Source organism: Homo sapiens, chromosome 2 (genome assembly GCF_000001405.40).
Source record: "Homo sapiens chromosome 2, GRCh38.p14 Primary Assembly".
Taxonomy (NCBI): domain Eukaryota; kingdom Metazoa; phylum Chordata; class Mammalia; order Primates; family Hominidae; genus Homo; species Homo sapiens.
Genome location: NC_000002.12, coordinates 94824204 through 94845114, shown reverse-complemented (window position 1 = coordinate 94845114; position 20911 = coordinate 94824204). Strand labels below are relative to the sequence as shown.

The window sequence follows — 20911 nt, the reverse complement described above, 5'->3', positions numbered from 1 at the left end:
ATTTAATTATGATCCCTAAAATCCTATATAATATTTTTGCATAAATAAGAAAAAAGATTTTTAAGTTAGTATGTTGTATGTTTCCTCTATAGTCACATTATACCAAATTGGACTTGTTATACAAATGGATCTTCGATTTCATTTTTATAATAAATTGTTTATATTTAGTAAATAAATAACTACAGTTGACCCATGAATAATGTGGGGGTGAGGGACTCTGATCCCTGTGCAGTTGAAAATCTGAGTATAACTTTTGATTCCTTCACCTTAGCTACTAATAGCCCACAATTGACTGGAAGCCTTCCTGATAACATAAACAGTTGATGAACACCTATTTTGTTTGTGCTGCATTATTATATACTGTGTTCGTACAATAAAATAAGCTAGAGAAATGAAGCTGTTAGAAAGGAAATCATCAGGAAAAACATATTGACTTTTCATAAAGCATAAGTAGTCCTGACAAAGGTCTTCATGATCTTCAGGTTGATTAGGCTGAGGAGGAAGAGGAGAGGTGGATCTTGCTGTCTCTCTGTTGCAGAGGCAGAAGAAAATCTGCATATAAGTGAATCCCTGCAGTTGAAACCCTTGCTGTTCAAGGGTGAACTGTATTACATATTGATTTGTGTCACTAAGAAAGTAACTATCTTTAGAACCGGGAACTCAGCAATCCCTTTCTGGTACCGTAAATAAATGGCAATAAGAACTGTAGAACTGAACCAGTGTGCACCCATACAAATAGGAGATTATTTTTTGAAGATAGCTACTGAGCACAGAAGATGGAAAAGCAATTCCTTTGTGAGAAGCACAAGTTATATTACATATTCGTACACAAGCAAAATGATTTTATCTGTCATAGTTTACATACGTACACATACACACATGCACATGTGCACACACCTGTGCACACAGACACAAAGTTAAAAGTCCTGCTGATTCTTAATGACCAAATCCAACTGTTCACAGAGAGCGGTGGATAATGCATCCTACTGTTTGGATGCAATTCTTTTGACTTTTTGACTTGTTTTGTGATGAACTGCCTTTAATGGGTTTAAATCATGTTTTTAGTTTTATGAGAAATGAAGAAAAAGATTAGAAGCAAGTAAACAGGAACTCTATGGTCTGTAGTAGACTATAATAGTATATTCAATAGTCATATGTTTTTCTCCAGTTATACAATTTACTTGAATGATGCACAATTAATCAATTATTATTATCATAGTAGATGGGGTCTCTCTATGTTGCCTAGGCTAGAATACAGTGTCTATTCATTGGTGCAATCATAGCTGACTGTAGCCTTGAACTCCTGGGCTCAAGCAGTCCTCCTACCTCATCCTCCTGAGTAGCTGGGACTACAGTTTTGTGTGGTTACATCTGGCCTGATACACAATTATTTATTTGTTTATTTATTTTTAATACAGGGTCTCCCTCTGTTGTCAGTACTGGTGTGCAGTGGTGCCATCTTGGCTCACTGCAACTTCTGCTTGCTGGCCTTAAATGATCCTTTCACCTTAGCCTCCCAAGTAGCTGGGACTACAGGCATGCACTACCACACTTGGCTAATTTTCTTTTTAAGGGTTTTTTTGTTTGTTTGTTTGTTTGTTTAATAGATGAGGTCTCACTATATTGCCGAGGCTGGTCTGGAACTTCTGGGCTCAAGTGATCCTCCTGCCTCAACCTCCCAAAATGCTTGGATTTACAAGTGTGAGCCACTGCACTTGGCCTTCAAAATTATTATAAAAAGGAATGAAGCCCAGTTTAGTTGCAGAAAATTGACCACTTTTTCATTTTTGTTTCTAGAAACATTCATATTGTAGAACATATTGTCAATCACCCAGATTCTCTATTTTTTATTCGGATAAAAGAGGATTGCTGCTTATTTCACATTATTTTCTGACATTATTTTTTCATTTATTCCTTCTATGGCTTTATTCAATTGGATAGATATAGAAATACAAGAATCTCCAAGTCAAATATCAAGGCAAAAAAAGAAAAGAAAAACAGATTAGGGAAAGTTATTCTGTGAAATAACCATCTGATTACAGTTACATGTATCATATCAACTTAATACAAATCTTACACAATGAATTTGTGTCAAGGTTTCCCAAGACCACCCCAGGTTTGGTGGTTCATTAGAAGGACTCACAGGACTCAGCAAATAGTCATACTCAGATCTTTAATTGATAACAAGGAAGGGGACAAGCAAAATTAGTAGAGAAAAAAGGTGCATGTGGTCAATTCTGGAGGAAACAAGGCACAAGCCTCCAGGAGTTCTGTCCTGTGGAGTTCCCGGGATCTGCTTAATTCTCCCAGGCTCACATTTTGACAACATATGTGCAGTGATGTCTACCAGTAGCAGAGTCTCATTAGAGACTAAGTGCCCAAGTTTTTCTATGGAGGTTACTCTCCCTCACATGTACCGAAATTCCAGACTCTTACAAGGAAAGCAGCTGTTTAGAGTAAATACACTGTTTCTATAAGCACTTTAGACACAGTGAGCCATTCTTCTCAGGGAATGGTGGAAACCCTCCCATTTCCAATTTCCTAAACACCAGCCAAGGGCCAGCCTTGCATGCAGGCCTTTCTAAGGATGGATGGCAGCCTCTTGCCTGCTATATGAAATCTTTTCTGCACAACACTTGTAACCCCAACTTAATTTTTGGTGTTGTTTTAAAATTTCATTTTAATAACATAATATTATAAGATAAGGTAACTTGGTACTAATTTCTGTTGTATGATCCATCTTAAGTTGCAGTGCTGGTTACTTTTTTGGCTTTTGGTGATGAACAGCTATTTGTATATAAGTTACCATAGCAATGTTAGGTAATTATAATCTGTCCTATTTATCTCATTAACCTTTCAGTAAAATTGTTAAATTAAATGAGCAAAATAATTTCTGAGTTAAAATTAGAATAAAAATTGTCTTTTATTTTGATTACATGAATAGTCTAGTTTTCATATTGTGCTAAATCCCTGTTTAGAATTATGAAATAAGATAAAATATTCAATTATTTTTATCAATATTTTCTTACCTAAGCATGCAATTAAATTTATTTATTTTATATATTTTATATAGCTCAATTTGAGAAGTAATGACCACATGTTGTTACTTTGGTCTTCAATGATCTCTAATTTTTAGGGACACCGTGTCTTGCTTAAATATATCATAGTAACAGGTTCAGTGAATATCTTTATTTTTTATTTTATTTACTTATTTTTTTTGAGACGGAGTTTTGCTCTTGTTGCCCAGGCTGCAGTGCAATGACACAATCTTGGCTCATTGCAACCTCCACCTCCCAGTTTCAAATGATTCTCCTGCCTCAGCCTCCCAGGTACCTGGAACTACAGGCATGCACAATCATGCCTGGCTAATTTTTTGTATTTAGTAGAGATGGGGTTTCACCATGTTAGTCAGGCTGGTCTCGAACTCCTGACCTCAGGTGATCCACCTACCTCGGCCTCTCAAAGTGCTGGGATTACAGGCATGAGCCACTGCCCCCAGCCATTTATTTATTTATTTTAATTGTTGTTCTGGAGATCCTGGGATGCATAGACAGTGAATATCTTTTTTGTTTTTTGAGATGGAGTCTCACTCTGTCTCCCAGGCTGCAGTGCAGTGGTGCGATCTCAGTTAACTGCAACCTCCGCCTTCTAGGCGCAAGTGATTCTCCTGCCTCAGCCTCCTGAGTAGCTGAAATTACAGGTGCCAGCCACCATGCCCAACTAATTTTTGTATTTTTTATTAGAGATGAAGTTTTGCCATGTTGGCCAGGCCGGTCTTGAACTCCTGACCTCAGGTGATCCACCCACCTTTGCCTCCCAAAGTGCTGAGATTACAGGCATGAGCCACTGAGCCCAGCTGAATATCTTTTTTAAATCAATAACCTTATTTCTTAGAGCAGTTTTAGGTTCACAGCAAAATTGAGAGGAAGGTACAGAGATTTCTCATATATCCCATGCCTCCCACACACGCATAGGCTCCCCCATTATTACTATTTTCCACCAGAGAGTGGTACATTTGTTAGAACTGATGAACTTACATTGACACATTATAATCATTCAAAGTTCATAGTTTACATCAGGCTTCACTCTTGATGCTGTACATTCTGTGAATTTGGACAAATGTATAATGACATGACATGTATCTATTACTGTAATATTATCGACAGAACAGTTTCACAGCCCTAAAAGTTCTCTATGCTATGCGTGTTCATCTCTCCCTTTCTCCCTAGCAACTCGTGGCAACCATTGATGTTTACTCTGTCTTCATAGTTTCACTTTTTTCAGAAGAGTCACATAGTTGGAATAATACAGTGGATATCTTTTTGAATAGTTAAAAAATTAAAGCTCCGTGGCAGTTGAATGTAGTCATTTAAGATGTTCTTTGTCCTTTTGTTTTCCTTTTGCTTCTTTATCATTGTAAAGAATGATATATTCTGATGACATATGCTTTACATACTTAGAAAACGTGATTTGTATAGATATGTGGCACATAATAGAAAGGGTTGAGGAAAAGGACACCGTGCTGTACCACACAGCACAAACTGGAGCATCTTGCTCTGTGAGGTGGGTCCAGATAGACTCTCTAGTAATGGAAGGGGACAAGTGCAAGGGGTTGTACTTTATAAAACTGGAATCACAAAGTCTTTCATACTTACCTTCGGTTGGAAATAAGACCAGGCAGTGAATGCTATAGGTAAATACATATGTTCCTCACTGATCCTCTTCCTTTGACTGATGGGGTTGATAACAGCCTGTATTATGATGATGTGACTCACTTACAACTAGATTCTGTCATGAGGGATTGCAAGAGAGTTTTGCTTTCTGTGAGGTGAAAAAGAATTTTTTTCCCCTACTAGGGAGAAGGGCAAGCACTGGAACATTCTGGTAGTAAAAGGGCATTGATGGTTTTCTTTCTATATATTTTTCACATCATATAGTACTGCCCAGCAGCCTGCCACACCTCCCTGGTGTTTCTTCAGCTTCTCTCTGAATGTGAGGTGTGGTTCCTAGCGGATAAGCTCTTAAAGGAGTGATATTTCCAGCGGTTTTTCTGTGGGAGGTAAAATGGCAGGTGAATTTGGGCCTTGCTATATGTAGGGCAGAGCAAATAGCTACAACTAAGTAAACCACCCAGCACCGTCCCCAAAGAGTAGTAGCCAGAGTAATACATTGATCTCTTTTGAGCTCTTTTCCAGTAGCAGCTGGAAAGTCTTTGCAAGGATTCCTGTTTCTGGTCTGATTCCTATGTTTTGCTGACTTCTGGTGATAGGGTGTTTTATTCTAAACTGAGCAGTTTGAACTGAAGAGCTAGAGAGGCTGTGTTGTGTTATAACAAAATAAGTGCAGTAGCTCCCCCTTAACTGTGGGAGATACATTCCGAGACCCCCAGTGGATGCATGAAACCATGAATAGTACTGAATCACAAACTGTTTTTCCCTATACATACATATCTATGCTAAAGTTTAATTTATAAATTAAATTGAATCTGATGTTACCAGCAGATAGGGTGTGAGAATTGAATTGTGTCATCAGCAGGAATGATTGCTTGCTTGTTGGTGGGGAAAAACCCTCCACATATTTGGTCACAGAAGCCTTCTTTGTTGATGATTGTTGCTGTGGTGTGACAGCAGAGAAAAACGTGTCAAGTGTGTCTTTCTGCACATATAGTGGATAAGGGATACTACTGTATACTCTGTTTTAATGGCACCTCATATTGTGGTCCAGAAATCATGCTCTTTGACACTTTTGACTCATCACACCTGTTCTGCTAACAATACCATTTTTACTCGATCTCACAGGGTTTGGCTAGGATGACTTGCATACTTCAGTTCACTTGTAGATACCAAATTTTAATAAATTTATTCTTCTTTGCATCTAATAAATACAAAGGGAAGAGTTCTTACTGCATTAACTACCTACCAATATGTATAACGAATGTTAATTCTAATAAGGTCCCAGGCATGCTCCCAAAGGAATGCTTTGTAACAAAGCATCAGTCTTATGCTTTAAAAAACCAAACCAAACCAAAACAACAACAACAAAAAACAGGATCTAAAGCATACATACAAGTGTGCACAATTTTTTTATGAAGGTAGAGTCTTACTATGTTTCCCAAGCTGGTCTCAAACTTCTGGGCTCCTCAAGTGATCCTCCTGCCTCAGCCTCCCAAGTAGTTTGGATTAGAGGGATGCATCACTGTGCATACTTATGCTTTTAATATTCTGTACATTTATTATTGATTTAAAGTGCGTTTTACCTTTTTCTTTAATAGATGTTGGAAGTTCTGATGAATCTGCAGTCAGGTAGGATTTTATAGATTTAAAAAATTATGTTAACTAAGAAAATATAGATGGAAGAAACGAATATCTGTTGAGTGTTGTATTGTGGGCTAGACATCCTAATATGTTCTATGCATTTATCATCTCATAAAGCCATCACAACATCTGTCTTCCTATAACCTGCTGTTTATTAAATAAACAACTATGGATTAGAGCTGATTAATTGCCTCATGATCCCATAGTTAACAAAGTAGCTGGCCTACAGTTTGACCATCAGCCTGCCTACCTTCCAAATTCTGTCTCTTGCTCCTCAGCATAGATTGACAGATATCTGTGCAGCCCTTGGATCAAGGTATAGGTCTGAATCAGATTAGTCAGATTCATTAATTTGATTAATGTCTAAATTAATGAGAGTTTAAATACCTTGAACTCTCATTTATCATTAGAATGTGGTTAGTCCAAGAGTTTGTCCTAATAAATTTGACAATTTCAGTGGTAACCAGTATCTTATTTTTACCATCAAAGGCTCTAGGGCAGATCTTACTTAGCTTTGGCCATAGGGGTGTAAGTTTTACAAAAGCAAGTTTAGGCAAGTCTTAGAGACAAATTATTTGACTTCCCAGTTTGGTTTTCCATTTAGGCAAGTATTTCTGCTTACTTCCATAATACATTTTTTAGTCTTGTTGCTTTTTCCATGACTTTTCTATAATCTTGTCTGCATTTTTTAAAACTTTCTTCTCTGCTTTTCTTGGTATTTCTTTTGTTCTATTATTTTTTCAAACTCTGCTAGCTATGTATTCTAAGTTTTTCTATAGATAGTATCAAGAGGACATAGAATTACAGAATTTTAAGGAATCTTGGAATGAATTAAAATACCTTCTAGTATTTTTACCTGTGTTGAACATTCTGGTCAAATGATTCTCTAGATAGAGAATGTGAGGCTCAAAGAGATTAGGATGCTTTTTTTTAGACATAGGAATTGGCAGAAATGAGATTTGAACTCATGTTAAAGCCCAGTACTCTTGCTTCTTTTTATATCCTATTGGCGTGTGTTTTAATAATACAAACGGGAGTGAGTCTGTGGGTAGAATGAGAATGGAATTAGCTGGTGAACCCAATGGAAGTAGATAAGAATGGAATGAGCAGGGGAAGTCCAAGTTTGAAGATAAACAACACTGGATTGGATAGGAGTACAGACTCTTCTATAAGAGATCAAAATATTGGGGTTTATGACAAGTTTGATAAAGATAAATTATAAAAATGAAGGACACAAGATGTTGGGAATTATCTACAAAGGCATATTAAAATAGAAGGTTCAAGGGAGCTCTAAAAAGTTTGCTGCTTTTTTTTAAATCAAGGACTGACAAACTTGAAGATTTTTACTGAAAGATGCTAAAACATTTTGAGACACTGGGAGGAGCGTCTGCAGCAGATAGAAATGTGGTGTCATCTATTTCCATCCTGACTTACAAAGGGGTGGCTTAGAGCCCCTGGAGTAGTGAGGGGCTGGAGATTGCTGAACTACATAGATCTGTGGCCCAGTACAAGTGTCTCCTCACCTCTGCCTCTTTTCCCGATTCACTGATGTCCTTCCCATGTCCATGTGGGCTGGGTCAGGGGCATGACTGGCTGGCAAATCAGTCATGGAGTTCAGTTGGGTAGTTGGTAGTGTGTCTAGCTGGGGGCAGGTGATGGAGACTCCAGTTAGCTTGTTTTTCAGGAGCAGGGATATAGAGAGCTCCTACTCCTGGTCATTTGAGGCCATCCTTTCAGGAATCTGTGCTTTCATAGACTGAAGATTTAAAGATTGAAGACTTCTGTGGAGCCCTGCAGAAGTGGAATCTGGAAGTGGGAGCCCATAGGAAGACAGATACTTAGAGAGTACTTAGGGAAATAGAGGTGCAACTACCAGGACTCTGTTTTTTTCTGGCAGTCTCTCTCCTTGGGTGTCTGAGTGCCTATGAAGAGTTTTAAGGGCTTGCTAGTTTATGTGGACCTGAATAAGGTAGGACCTATAGGGTGAAAATAATGGGATTTTATAATTGTTAATATTTCAATCTTTCTGGGAAAAGTATTCTCAATAAGAACATACACCTTTGTTATTTGACTTCTGTACATTTAGCTTTCATACATTTCAAATATTGTAGGGGCTTTCCTGTACTGATTTAGGGCAAAGGAAAGCAATAGGACCTTCCTAAGTGGGTTCCATGCTGAGGAATCAAGACTGCCATTCTGAAGTGATGCAGATTAGTCTTTTATCCAGAGACAGATCATGGAAAAGAGACAGTGGATCTTTCTACCTTGTTTTAGGTCATCAGTTTTCTTCCAGTTTAGGTAACAAAATTTATGTCATCCATTAATTGAATTTTAAGTTTAGCTTCAGGACAGATAATTTGTGAGGGCAAATCATTGTCAGGCTCTGCCAATTTATTGACTGTCACTATTTGTTATAAAGCTCAAAGTTAGTTTTCATTGAATATTTTATAGATTTAGACAGGTGGAGGCAGAAATAGGTAACTAAAATCTATTTTTAGAACAGAGGACATATTTTAATTATATCAAGAATCACTATTTAATATATAGATTGCTGACCTTTCCCAAGATTATGGTTTCCTTTTTTGAGGGGGAAGCTGGATATAAACTGGCAGTTAAAAAAATTGTAAAGAAATCAACTTGCTCATTTTCGTTGTGTATTTTCGCTCTCAAGCATTTTCCATGAACTGCGTGTGGATTCATTGCCTGCATCGGATGACAAAGACTTGAGTGTTGCTACTAAGGTAAAGTGGTCTCTTGTAAAATTAATTTTCTCACTCTGAATGTACTTTTGCAGAGTATTTACTTTTCAAGTTTAGCAGTGGTTTACCTATCATTGTTTTATGGTGGTAATGGAAAGTTGGTCAGAGAAAAACATACATATGGCTAGTTGATTCAAAAAATGTGTTTAACTTTGGTAACTAACAAAGATTGATAAGTACTGTGACAGGGTGGGAGCTGAAAAAAAATGAATTGGAAAATTAGTAGTGACAGGAAAATCACATTAGGAAATGCTTTCTCCAATAGAGGAAATGTGAAATTTGGTTAAGGTTTATTTGGATAAATACTAATACTTTGACTTTTAAATCATACGAGTGTGACTTTCTTAATATTTATGCCTGTATAAATCTTCAGTGGATCAAATTATTTGCAGTAATCATGGGATCCTCCTGGTGATTTTTAGTGGCAAAAATATTCAGCACATAGCATATAGCTTTTGATCTTGGAAACTTATTATTTTGGTATCCTATTGTTTTTATGAGAGATTGTTTTTCTACTTATATTATTGGTTCTGTAGTGAGACAAAAAAAATTAAAAATTGTAGAAAAATAACTGAGTGTGGTGGTGTACACCTGTAGTCCCTGCTACTTGGGAATTTGAGGCAGGAAGATTGCTTGAACCCAGGAGTTTGAGAACAGCCTGGGCAACATCGTATCTGATTTAAAAATATAAATTGTGGAAATATAGAAATTTAAATTTATGTTCTCAAAATGTGTATTGCAAAGGAATTTTTGTGTGGTTTATGAGTTGTCCATGAAGAGTTTATATAAGGCACTTCATCTAATTGAATAACATGTATTTTGCTGCAAATAACCAGTTCTAGAAGCAGAGACTCTTAATACCAATGGATGGTAAGACTTTATCATCATAATTTTGTCATTGTAGTTTATTTAAAATATTTATTTCACCAGGTGTGGAGACTCACCTGTAATCCCAGCAGTTTTGGAGGCCGAGGTCGGTAGATCACCTGAGTTCAGGAGGTCGGTAGATCACCTGAGTTCAGGAGTTCAAGATCAGCCTGGCCAACATGGTGAAACCCTGTCTCTAAAAAAAACCAAAAACAAAACAAAACAAAACAAAAGCAGAAAAATTAACCAGGCGTGATGGTGCATACCTGTAATCCCAGCTGCTCAGGAGGCCAAGGTGGGAGAATCGCTTGAACCCGGGAGGCAGAGGTTGCAGTGAGCCAAGATCACACCATTGCACTCCAGCCTGGGTGACAGAGCAAGACTACATCTTAAGAAATAAAATAACCACTCAAAGTCCTCATATCATATTCTGAAATTTTGAATTTCAGAAGGTTTTCTATTTAGTTGTTTAAATAATCATTGGAAGCTCCTGCATACCATAAGCTACTGGAGGTCAGTAAACATATTTGTGTGTATCCTGGAGTACCTAGAATACATTCTTCCATGTAAGAAGCATTTTACTTGTTGTTTTTTGAGATGGGGTTTCATTCTGTCCCCCAGGCTGGAGGGCACTGGTGAGATCTTGGCTCACTCCGATCTCCATTTCCTGGGCTCAGGTGATCCTCACACCTCAGCCATCCCAGTAGTTGAAACAATAGAGCTATGTCACCATAGACCTGTGTCACCATGCTCAGCTGAGTTTTGTAGAGACAGGGTTTTGCCTTGTTGCCCAGGCTGGTCTTTAACTGTTGGGCTCAAGTGTTCTGCCTGCCTCAGCCTCTCAAAGTGCTGGGTTACAGGCATAAGACATTCAGCCTTAATAGTTGTTTAATCTGAATAAATAGACAAATGAATTTTTATATAATGGAATGTTATAAGTAATATAATAAACCTAATGTATCTAATAATTAAATATTGTATTTAAAATATTGCTTACATTGTATTTTTTAATATTTAAGGGTGTATAAGTTTTGATATGTTATGTTGAGAAATTATGCCATAATTAAAAAGGAAATAAAATAGAAATAGGTCATCAGTAGCAAAGAGGGTTACAATATATTTTCTAGTATAATTCAACTGGAATCTTAACATTGAGATTTTAGATTAACATTTCTTAAGCTTTTTATTAGCTCCAACTCATGTTCTATTAAATATACCTTTTCAAGCCATACATTACTCTTTATTATTATTATACTGTAAGTTCTAGGGTACATGTGCACAATGTGTGGGTTTGTTACATGTGTATACACGTGCCATGTTGGTGTGCTGCACCCATTAACTCATCATTTACATTAGGTATATCTCCTAATGCTATCCCTCCCCCCTTCCTCCACCCCACGACAGGCCCCAGTGTGTGATGTTCCCCATCCTGTGTCCAAGTGTTCTCATTATTCAATTTCCACCCATGAGTGAGAATATGTGGTGTTTGGTTTTCTGTCCTTGTGACCGTTTGCTCAGAATGATGGTTTCCAGCTTCATCCATGTCCCTACAAAGGACATGAACTCATCCTTTTTCATGGCTGCATAGCATTCCATGGTGTATATGTGCCACATTGTCTTAATCTAGTCTATCATTGATGGACATTTGGGTTGGTTCCAAGTCTTTGCTATTGTAAATAGTGCCGCAATAAACATACGTGTGCATGTGTCTTTGAGCAGCATGATTTATAATCCTTTGGGTATATACCCAGTAATGGGATGGCTGGGTCAAATGGTATTTCTAGTTCTAGATCCTTGAGGAATCACCATACTGTCTTCCTCAAAGGATGAACTAGTTTACAGTCCCACCAACAGTGTAAAAGTACTCCTATTTCTCCACATCCTCTCCAGCACCTGTGGGTTCCTGACTTTTTAATGATCGTCATTGTAACTGGTGTGAGATGGTATCTCATTGTGGTTTTGATTTGCATTTCTCTGATGGCCAGTGATGATGATCATTTTTTCATGTGTCTGCCATACATTACTCTTTAGAATTCTGGTGACCAATTTTTTTCTGGGTGGAAAGCTGATTGAAAGTTCTAGTTTTCTCTCTCTCTTATAATAATGTTCTTTCAGGTAGTGGTCGATGACCATATTTAGCTAATTGAATGTCTTATAGTAATAAACTCTATCACAGAAGTACTTACAAAAAACTAATTGTAGCATAAATATTAATTAGTATTATCAGGGATATGAAAGAGCAAAAGGCTCTGTTATAGATCTATTTCCCCATGTACTTTATTGTACTTCATGCTGTTTCTTTTCTTTCTTGGCTTAAGCTCATATTTCATTGACCAATTAGGTTTGTTTTTTGTTTGTATCTCTCTTCATTCTCACATTTTAAATTGAAATTTTTGGGGAGTCAGGGTCTTGCTCTGTTGCCCATGCTGCAGTGTAGTGGCATGATCTTGGCTCACTGCAGTATCCACCTCTCAGGCTCAAGTGATCCTCCCACATCAGCTTCCCAAGCAGCTGGGACTACAGGCACACACCATCATGCCTGACTCCTTTTGGTATTTTTTGAGCAGAGATGTGTTCTCATTATGTTGCCCAGGCTGGTCTCAAACTCCTGAACTCAAGCAATCCACCCACGTTGGCCTTGCAAAGGGCTGAGATTACAGGTGTGAGCCACCATGCCTGGGCAGCATTGAGATTGATTTAAAGAAATTGATTAGGGCTGGGTGTGGTGGTGCACACTGCTTATCTCAACACTTTGGGAGGCAGAAGTGGAAGATTTACTTGAGCCCAGGAGTTTGAGACCAGCCTGGACAGTATAATGAGGCCTTGTCTCTACTAAGATAACAATAAAAACATTAGCATGGCATGATGGTACGCACCTGTAGTTCCAGCTATTCAGGAAGTTGAGGTGGGAAGATTGCTTGAGGTCAGGAGTTTGAGACCACAGTGAGCCATAATCAGGCCCCTGCATTCTAGCCCTGGGTTGACAGAGTGAGACCCAGTTTCATAAAAAGAGATTGATAAGAAACTCTTGATGCAACTCATTATAATTTTAAAATGGAAACTAATTCTTGATATTACCTTAGCAGTGTGTCCCCGAGAAAGTGTCAGAGCCTTTACCTGGACCTTCGCATGAAAAAGGAAACAGAATAGTCAATGGACAAGGAGAAGGTGAGAACCGTATTTTATTTAAAAAGTCATTTGATGGAGGCCGGGTGCGGTGGCTCACGCCTGTAATCCCAGCACTTTGGGAGGCCAAGGCGGGTGGATCGCGAGGTCAGGAGATCCAGAACATCCTGGATAACATGGTGAAACCCCATCTCTACTAAAAATACAAAAAACTAGCCAGGTGTTGTGGTGGGCGCCTGTAGTCCCAGCTACTCAGGAGGCTGAGGCAGGAGAATGGCTTGAACCCGGGAGGCAAAGCTTGCAGTGAGCGGAGATACCACCACTGCATTCCACCCTGGGCGACAGAGCGAGACTCCGTCTCAGAAAAAAACAAAACAAAAAAAAGTCATTTGATGGAATGTTTATTTGAAAATATGAGCACTAATAGAGTGTAATAGCTAAAGAAAGTGTCCTATTAACTGTATAATAAGTAAAGGAGAAGTGAAATGGTGATAAGTTGTGTGTCTAACCAAGGGTCAGCAGTTGATACTATCAGGAGTACCACTAAAGGAGCTGAGTTATGAGTTCCATTTTAAGATACTCTAAGACCTGAGGCAAGTCAGGAGAGAGGGAAGAGGAAATGAATAAAGAGAAAGAAAGAATGAGGAGAGCGGAGTGTACATGGAATAAATAAAAAAGCATATGCAGAGGTAAGTAATAGAGGATAGTAAAGGCAAATTGATCTGTAGAAGAAGGAAGAACATGGTGTTAGAAACAGGAAAGAAGATAAAGTGAGCTTCCAGTACGAAAATGTGTCAGAGAATTAGAATAACATTTTCCTTCTCTTGCTGTCATCCTCAATACTGGGGAGGCATTAAGGATTGAGGCAACTCACCACACAGACCTGTGTTTTGTCTACCATAGATGAACATCACCAAAAATGGTCAGCCATGTATGGCTATAATTTGTTTTTATAGAAAATGTAACCTCATAGGATAGTATCATATAGGCCAAATTAACATAATTGAATAGTGTTGGGTGATTTATGGAGAAGAAATTAATTTGAGAAGTATTGCCTGATTAAAAGTTCATTAGAAACATTATGGCTTACAATGTAGTATTAAATTGAGGGACATAATAGGGAAGAAATTGAGGCTAGGGCAAAAGGGCAATTAGGGTAAACCAATATGGAAGCACATCAGTGTAGAACGGGGCATTCAAATTGTCATGAATTAGTTGAGAAGCTTCTGGAAGGTGCACATTCTGATTCAGCAGGTATGGGAGTCTGCATTTCTCATGAGTACTCAGGTGATTTTGGTGCTGGTCCTTGGACACAGCTCTGAATAGCAAGGGAATAGCCTTCCTTTAAAGAACTCTGGAAAAAGAACCATTGGAGAGCAATTTAAAAAATAACAGAATCCAGGGAAAGCATTAATTTCCTTTTATTTCTGAGCATGATTCTAGCCACAGAGGAAGGAGAATGAGATGAAAACAGAGAGATTACAGGTGTATACTACTGCTGAATACAGATGAAAAAAGTGGTCAGTGGTCACAATTATCCATAAAAAGCAGTTAGGAAGGGAAGCATCAGGATGACAGTTCTAAAAATCAATTTTTCAAAGGAAGAGGGATTGTGAAAGCACACGGAGGGAGGAAAGAAAGACATTTGCTGGGGTCTTGGGAGTTGAAGCCAAGTAAACTTGAGACAACTCACTTCCAGTTGCTTCAGCATATGCCCAGTCTCACAAAAGAGGTTATTGCTGTGGAGAGTACTGGAGGCAGGAGGGAGTGCTAGAGTTGGGGTAAACCACAGCAGCTCATTTCACTTGATAACTGTCAGGCCTCAGAGAGAGAAGTTTCACTGACATGAGGGAATAAGATGTGATTAAGTTGCATATAGATGCTTTGGCTAATTTTTTTTGAGACAGCCAGTTCTTTGATATGATAGCTGTTTTATAAAAGTCCTTTACAGTGTAAGATAATACACCAAACTTAGTTAATTTTAGAAGCAATCATATTATAAAATTCATTCTGTGAATACCAAAATTCTCTTTTTCAATAAATACTGCACTGATTTTGAAATTAAATATGTATTCATATCCAGCAAGTCTGTGGTAATTCAGTGTTTTCTTTTTTGATAAATATTTTGATATCGGAAGCTTATTCGACATGGTTTATGTGTTTTATGGACCGCCTTGCATGAGTGGATCAAGGAGCTCTAATTGAAGGCCAAATGAGGGGACAGGAGAAATGTAGGTGCTGCAGTAGCCCATGTGATCATGGGAAAAATGAGTAGTTTGATTAGCTGTCATTTCATAAGTGTGTATAAGAGCTGATCAATGTAGAACACTTTCTTTGATGAGAGGTGAATCACACATTCACCTGAACTGTCATCCCAACTGTGTATTTCCTCAGTGACAAGACAAGGGGAATTTGTTTGTGGCATGCTGGCAGCAATGCCTCTGATGTGTTGAGTTAAAATACTCTGTACATTCACCATCAGCTTTGATGTCGATTCCCTCAGGTTTGATTTGCTCCTCTGTTTAATGGTCCCTTTTCTCCTCATCAGTCCATGTGTTCACGGTGATATCCATGCTTTTCTATTTTAGGTATAGGCATTTGAAACATAATCTCACTACTGAAATGTAAACTGTGCATTTTAGGAATCCTATATTCCTATTTTCCTCATTATGTTTCTGTCATGTTGCTGTCCTAGGCAATGAAAAGAAGCCAAGAAGAACCCTCCAAACCTTAAGTAATTATTTTTATAGCCAGGCATGAGAATTCAGCTCGATAGTACCACTGCATGAATGTTTGGTTGGCCCTGTCATACTTACATATAATTGATGACATATCCCCTTTGCTTTGTAGGGCCTCCTGCAAAACATCCTTCCTTGAAGGTAATTAATTATGTATATTTTTGAATCACTAACTCCATGTTGTATAAAACATATATGATTTATGAATCATTTTCTTTTAAAACCCATTCAGCCTACCACTGGAGTGGAAGATCCTGCTGTGAAAGGAGCAGTACAAAGAAAGAATGTACAGACATTGAGAGCAGGTACATTTAATGGAATACTGGAAATAAGTACATTCAATGATTGGAAGTACTCACATTATTCTTATTCCTAATTCTATTTGTTTAAAATTGAATGGAAGGCATTGACATAAATGTTATTGTTGGTATCCATATTTGAATAAAAGTAAATTTAGAAGCATAAAAAAGATTTTAAAAATGTAAGCTTTAACTCAGATGTTTCTCTTTTAATGTTTTGAATAGCATGAAGTTTTCAGTATAAAATTTTTATACCTGTCAGGGATTCAAAGCAGTGAATTTTGAGACTCTAAGATATTTCCAGTGAGTTAAGTGCTACTTGGAGTTCTGATCTTTACCTAGAGGAAAGCTTTACTTATTAACATGTCAGATTCTGTTTTAACTTTAGAGGCTTGCTGCTGTGTGTTTGTGGCATCTTTGACTATTAAAAATGAGGAAAGTAATGATTCATTTGTAACTGGTAGACACAGTCTTTTAAAATGGTGATTTTGAGACTTTTTGGTGTTAAGGTTTTTAAAACATGATTGCATAGAGGCTACCGACATCATAAGTTGGTTGTTTTTCATTTCAATGCCCTTTTGAAATCTTTAACTATATTGTGATGCTCAGAAATAATATGCAGAATTTTTTATTTGTGTCCCAAAATGGTATGTGAGTGGTTATACACTTTACATACCTTTCTGCCACTTTCTTTGGTGTATTTTGTATTATATTTTCCAGATGTATCCACATTGATATGATTATCTCTGGTTTAATTCATTTTACACTTTTCATTGTATTCCCTTATACCACTTTACCACATTTAGTTAGACTCTCCTGTTGCTGATAAATGAAGAAAGAAAGAAAAATAAAAATAATGTCAGATTAAGTGGGCTTTTCTTTAATCAGTTTGTATTTATTAATATTTACTATATGAGAGTTTAAAGTTGAAAAGTTCAGAATACAAGCATGCACCACCATATTTTATAAATGCCCTTAGAACTGTGACTCATGAGCCTTTAGCCTATGAAGTTAGGACGATTCATTTCTCTGAAGAAGTTTGTTGTGCTGTTCTCAAAAAAGAAAACTGAAAATAGCAAATGATATTGTCTTATTTGACCTCTTGGACATCTTTGAATGAAACTGCAACTCCGGGGATACTCAGATCAAAATTCAGAACTAATGTTTTGAACAATATAGTTTGTGAATGTCCAGTGGATCATGAGCCCTTGATGGGAAAATGACCTTTCAAGTTTCACTTTTGCATTTTTTGCTCTTTTCCTTGACTTGTCTTAAAAGCTTAAATTCAACCGTTTTATTTTTACAGAAACCAGAATATAACTTTTAAAATTTATGTCTGTCCTGTCTCACGGTGTTGTGTACTCTTCAGATCTTGTGTGAACATAGACTTATGTGGGAACAATTAGGTTTTTTGTTTGTTTGTTTGTGTTTTTGAGACAGAGTCTTGCTCTGTCACCAAGGCTGGAGTGCAGTGGCTCGGTCTTGACTCATTACCACCTCTGCCTCTCGGGTTCAAGCAATTCTCCTGCCTCAGCCCCTCGAGTAGCTGATACTACCTGCATGTGCTACCATACCCTGCTAAATGCTCTATTTTTAGTAGAGATGGGGTTTCACCATGTTGGCCAGGCTGCTCTCAAACTCCTGATCTCAGGTGATCTGCCTGCCTCAGCTTGCCAGTATGCTGGGATTACAGGCAGGAGCCACTGTGCCAGGTACAAATAAGATTTTTAAGGCTATTATATTTTATACAATTCTTTGGTCTTTGTGAATTCTGAAGGTATTCATGCATTGAGGGAAGATCATCTCAGTGTAATGAAAGCAGTTTTTAATGTATATTCATTAAAATTTTTTTTGAAGTTTTTGTCTCTAGTACACAGAAACACACAATATTGTCATGGGTATTTGACCTTAATGTGTTTATGCACAAACTTAGTTATTCAAATATTTTCTTATCCCTGAAGAATCCTAATTATTAATAAAAAAATTTCTCATGGAAAACAACATATATAATAGAGATTGTTGAGTGATAAAGTAAATTGTAGTAAATAACAGAAGCTTAGAACAAGTTAAGTAAACTTGTCTGAGTTAATAGCAATTACAGGACTTTTAAAATACATTAGACCATGAGGGAGTAGTGTGTTTGTGGGGTACAGGACATCATGGTCCTGCTTCAGTGAAGAAAGAACTTTTACACCTTATTACAATTTGTATTACTATTTACATTCTAATAAAAACTTTATTGTCAGATATTTTAGATTATGTTTCTACTAGTTGAACCATCAATAGTAAGACTTTTCAAAGATTTGGGAAGTTATGAGTTGATGATAAATATCTGTATCACCATCCATGATCAAAAATCAGACAGCAACTACAAGACTTTGGACCCGCGAACTTCATAGTTAAAGAAAGGATTAATCTTGGAGCTGTGTTTTTATCAGGGAATTATACTCTTCATTACCTCTGTGAATCGCAGTTATTAGAGTAGAAAGAGAGCAAAGAAGGGAAACAAACATAGAAAATTTTATTCTAGATTACCTCAGTTGGCTTCATGCTACCATAGTTCTAGCTTTTAAAAAGTCATTTTGTGGTCAAATGTACTTTGTGTTTACTCCCTTTATGCAGCCTACAACCAAACAGAATGCTTCTTAGCAAGGCATTTGTATTCTTCCCTTAAGGAAAGCAACATATAAATAACAAAGAGAATGAGGAGAAAGAGTAATTTCATTGAAGTTGGTATTTAACATAAATTTGTGTGCGGGTACCATGATTATATTTAGAATTTTGGGCCTGGAATAGAAAACCAGCTAGACGTCTACAGATTTCCTACTCAAACACAGTGTGCCTTTGTTTTATTTTTACATCTCTAATTTTGCAATTATTAGGTACAACTGTATGCACTGTCACTAAAAATACCTTCCAAAACCAAATATTAAATAATGCCTATGGCTTTCTGTATTATAATGTTGATTTCCCCAATATTAATGGGAACCATTGAGCGTTTGCCTTGTGGTGTCTCCTCAGCTGTATTCACACATTCCATCACCTTGTCTTAATGGATAATCATGCACTATGAGTATGGGTTTTCAGAAGAGCTGTATCATTTAAAGATAACACAGGAGCATCAAATTTAATTCTGCTAGAATACCTGGTCTATTGATTAACTGCAGCTAATATGGGGTCTACTTCACATACAAGTTAAATTCAGTGCCCTTAATCAGTCATATGATCAGGTCAACAGTAATAAATTATGCAATATTTTTTCACCCCTATAGTTTTAATTTCTTTTTCCCCTTATGTCTAGAATTAACATTTTATTTTACATAACATGATGATAATCTTCTAGAGTAGTGATGACGAAGTATAAATGCAAGGTTTCTTACCTATGCAAATGACTTGTTTGCTTCTATTTTCTCATGAGCTTGGTAGATCCAGGAAACAGAACTTTTAAAACAAAATCCCCATATATGGCTGGGCGCGGTGGCTCGTGCCTGTAATCCCAGCACTTTGGGAGGCTGAGGCGGGCAGATAACCTGAGGTTGGGAGTTTGAGACCAGCCTGACCAACATGGAGAAACACATCTCTACTAAAAACACAAAATTAGCTGGGCATGGTGGCACATACCTGTAATTCCAGCTACTCGGGAGGCTGAGGCAGGAGAATCACTTGAACCTGGGAGGCAGCAGTTGTGGTGAGCTGAGATTGCACCACTGCACTTCAGCCTGGGAAGCAAGAGTGAAACTCCATCTCAAACAACAACAACAACAACAACAACAACAACAACAGCAGCAGCAGCAGCAACAACAGCAGCAGCAACAACCACCACAAAACCCAAATGCATTTCCTTGGCACAGTAAAACTGAAACAGAAAAAGTGTAAAGTAAATACAAGTAACTGAAACAGTTTATGTATATTATTTTACTTCTCATTTGATAAAATTTGTAAAGTAATGAGCAGAGTGTATTTCTCCAGGGACCCAGATATATACATTTATTCATTCAATAAAAATTCATTCTTATAATGGCCACTGATACTTGTATCCTAAATATTTCTGAAAACATCTCCTCAGGCCTGCAGCATCTTTGCAACACTGCCTTATATTTTATCTTTGTTCATTGATTTATGTGCCTCAGAATTTTATGCTCCTCACAATAATTAGAGTTAATTATCTCTAATGCAAATAGATCTGTGAACCACTCCTGAATACCTATGTCCAAGCATCTTAAAGTTTTATATAAGGATTTCAGAAACTGATTTCTGGGTTGGGCATGGTGGCTCGTGTCTATAATCCCAGCACTTTGGGACGCTGAGGCAGGTGGATCATTTGAGGTCAGGAGTTCAAGACCAGCCTGGCCAACAAGGCGAAACCCCATCTCTAATAGAATACAAAAATTAGCAGGTGGTAATGGCACATGCCTGTAATCTCAGCTACTTGGGAGGCTGAGGCAGGAGAATTGCTTGAACCTGGGAGGCCGGGTTGCAGTGAGCCAAGATCATGCCACTGCACTTCAGTCTGGGAGACAGAGTAAGACCTTGTCCCAAAAAAAGGAAAGAAAAGGAAACTGATTTCTGCCCAAATCTCCATCTGTAGCCCTTTCCCCATCTGCAGCCCTTTCCCCATCTGCCTTTTTCTCTGGAATTACTGAGCTGCTGGTAATGGCCCCCTCACCATTCCTCTTTTGCAGAGAAATACATACTCTCTTGGAGGCTTCTCTCCCCCTCTTGTTGCTGCCTGGCATGTGCTCACCCTTTCTTGCCCTCTGCCTCACTTAATCTGGCTAACCTTACTCTCTAAGTCTCAGCTCATGCAT

The 20911-nt window shown here is 37.7% G+C and overlaps 1 pseudogene across 1 annotated transcript in view; it reads left to right on the top strand.

Annotated features, from left to right (window-relative positions):
• Positions 1-20911, top strand: part of ANKRD20A8P (ankyrin repeat domain 20 family member A8, pseudogene) — a 96148-nt pseudogene that overhangs the window by 11961 nt on the left and 63276 nt on the right. The window contains exons 7-9 of the transcript NR_003366.2: positions 13027-13108; positions 15917-15945; positions 16037-16109. The product of NR_003366.2 is annotated as an ankyrin repeat domain 20 family member A8, pseudogene (transcript). The remainder of the gene's footprint in view (positions 1-13026; positions 13109-15916; positions 15946-16036; positions 16110-20911) is intronic.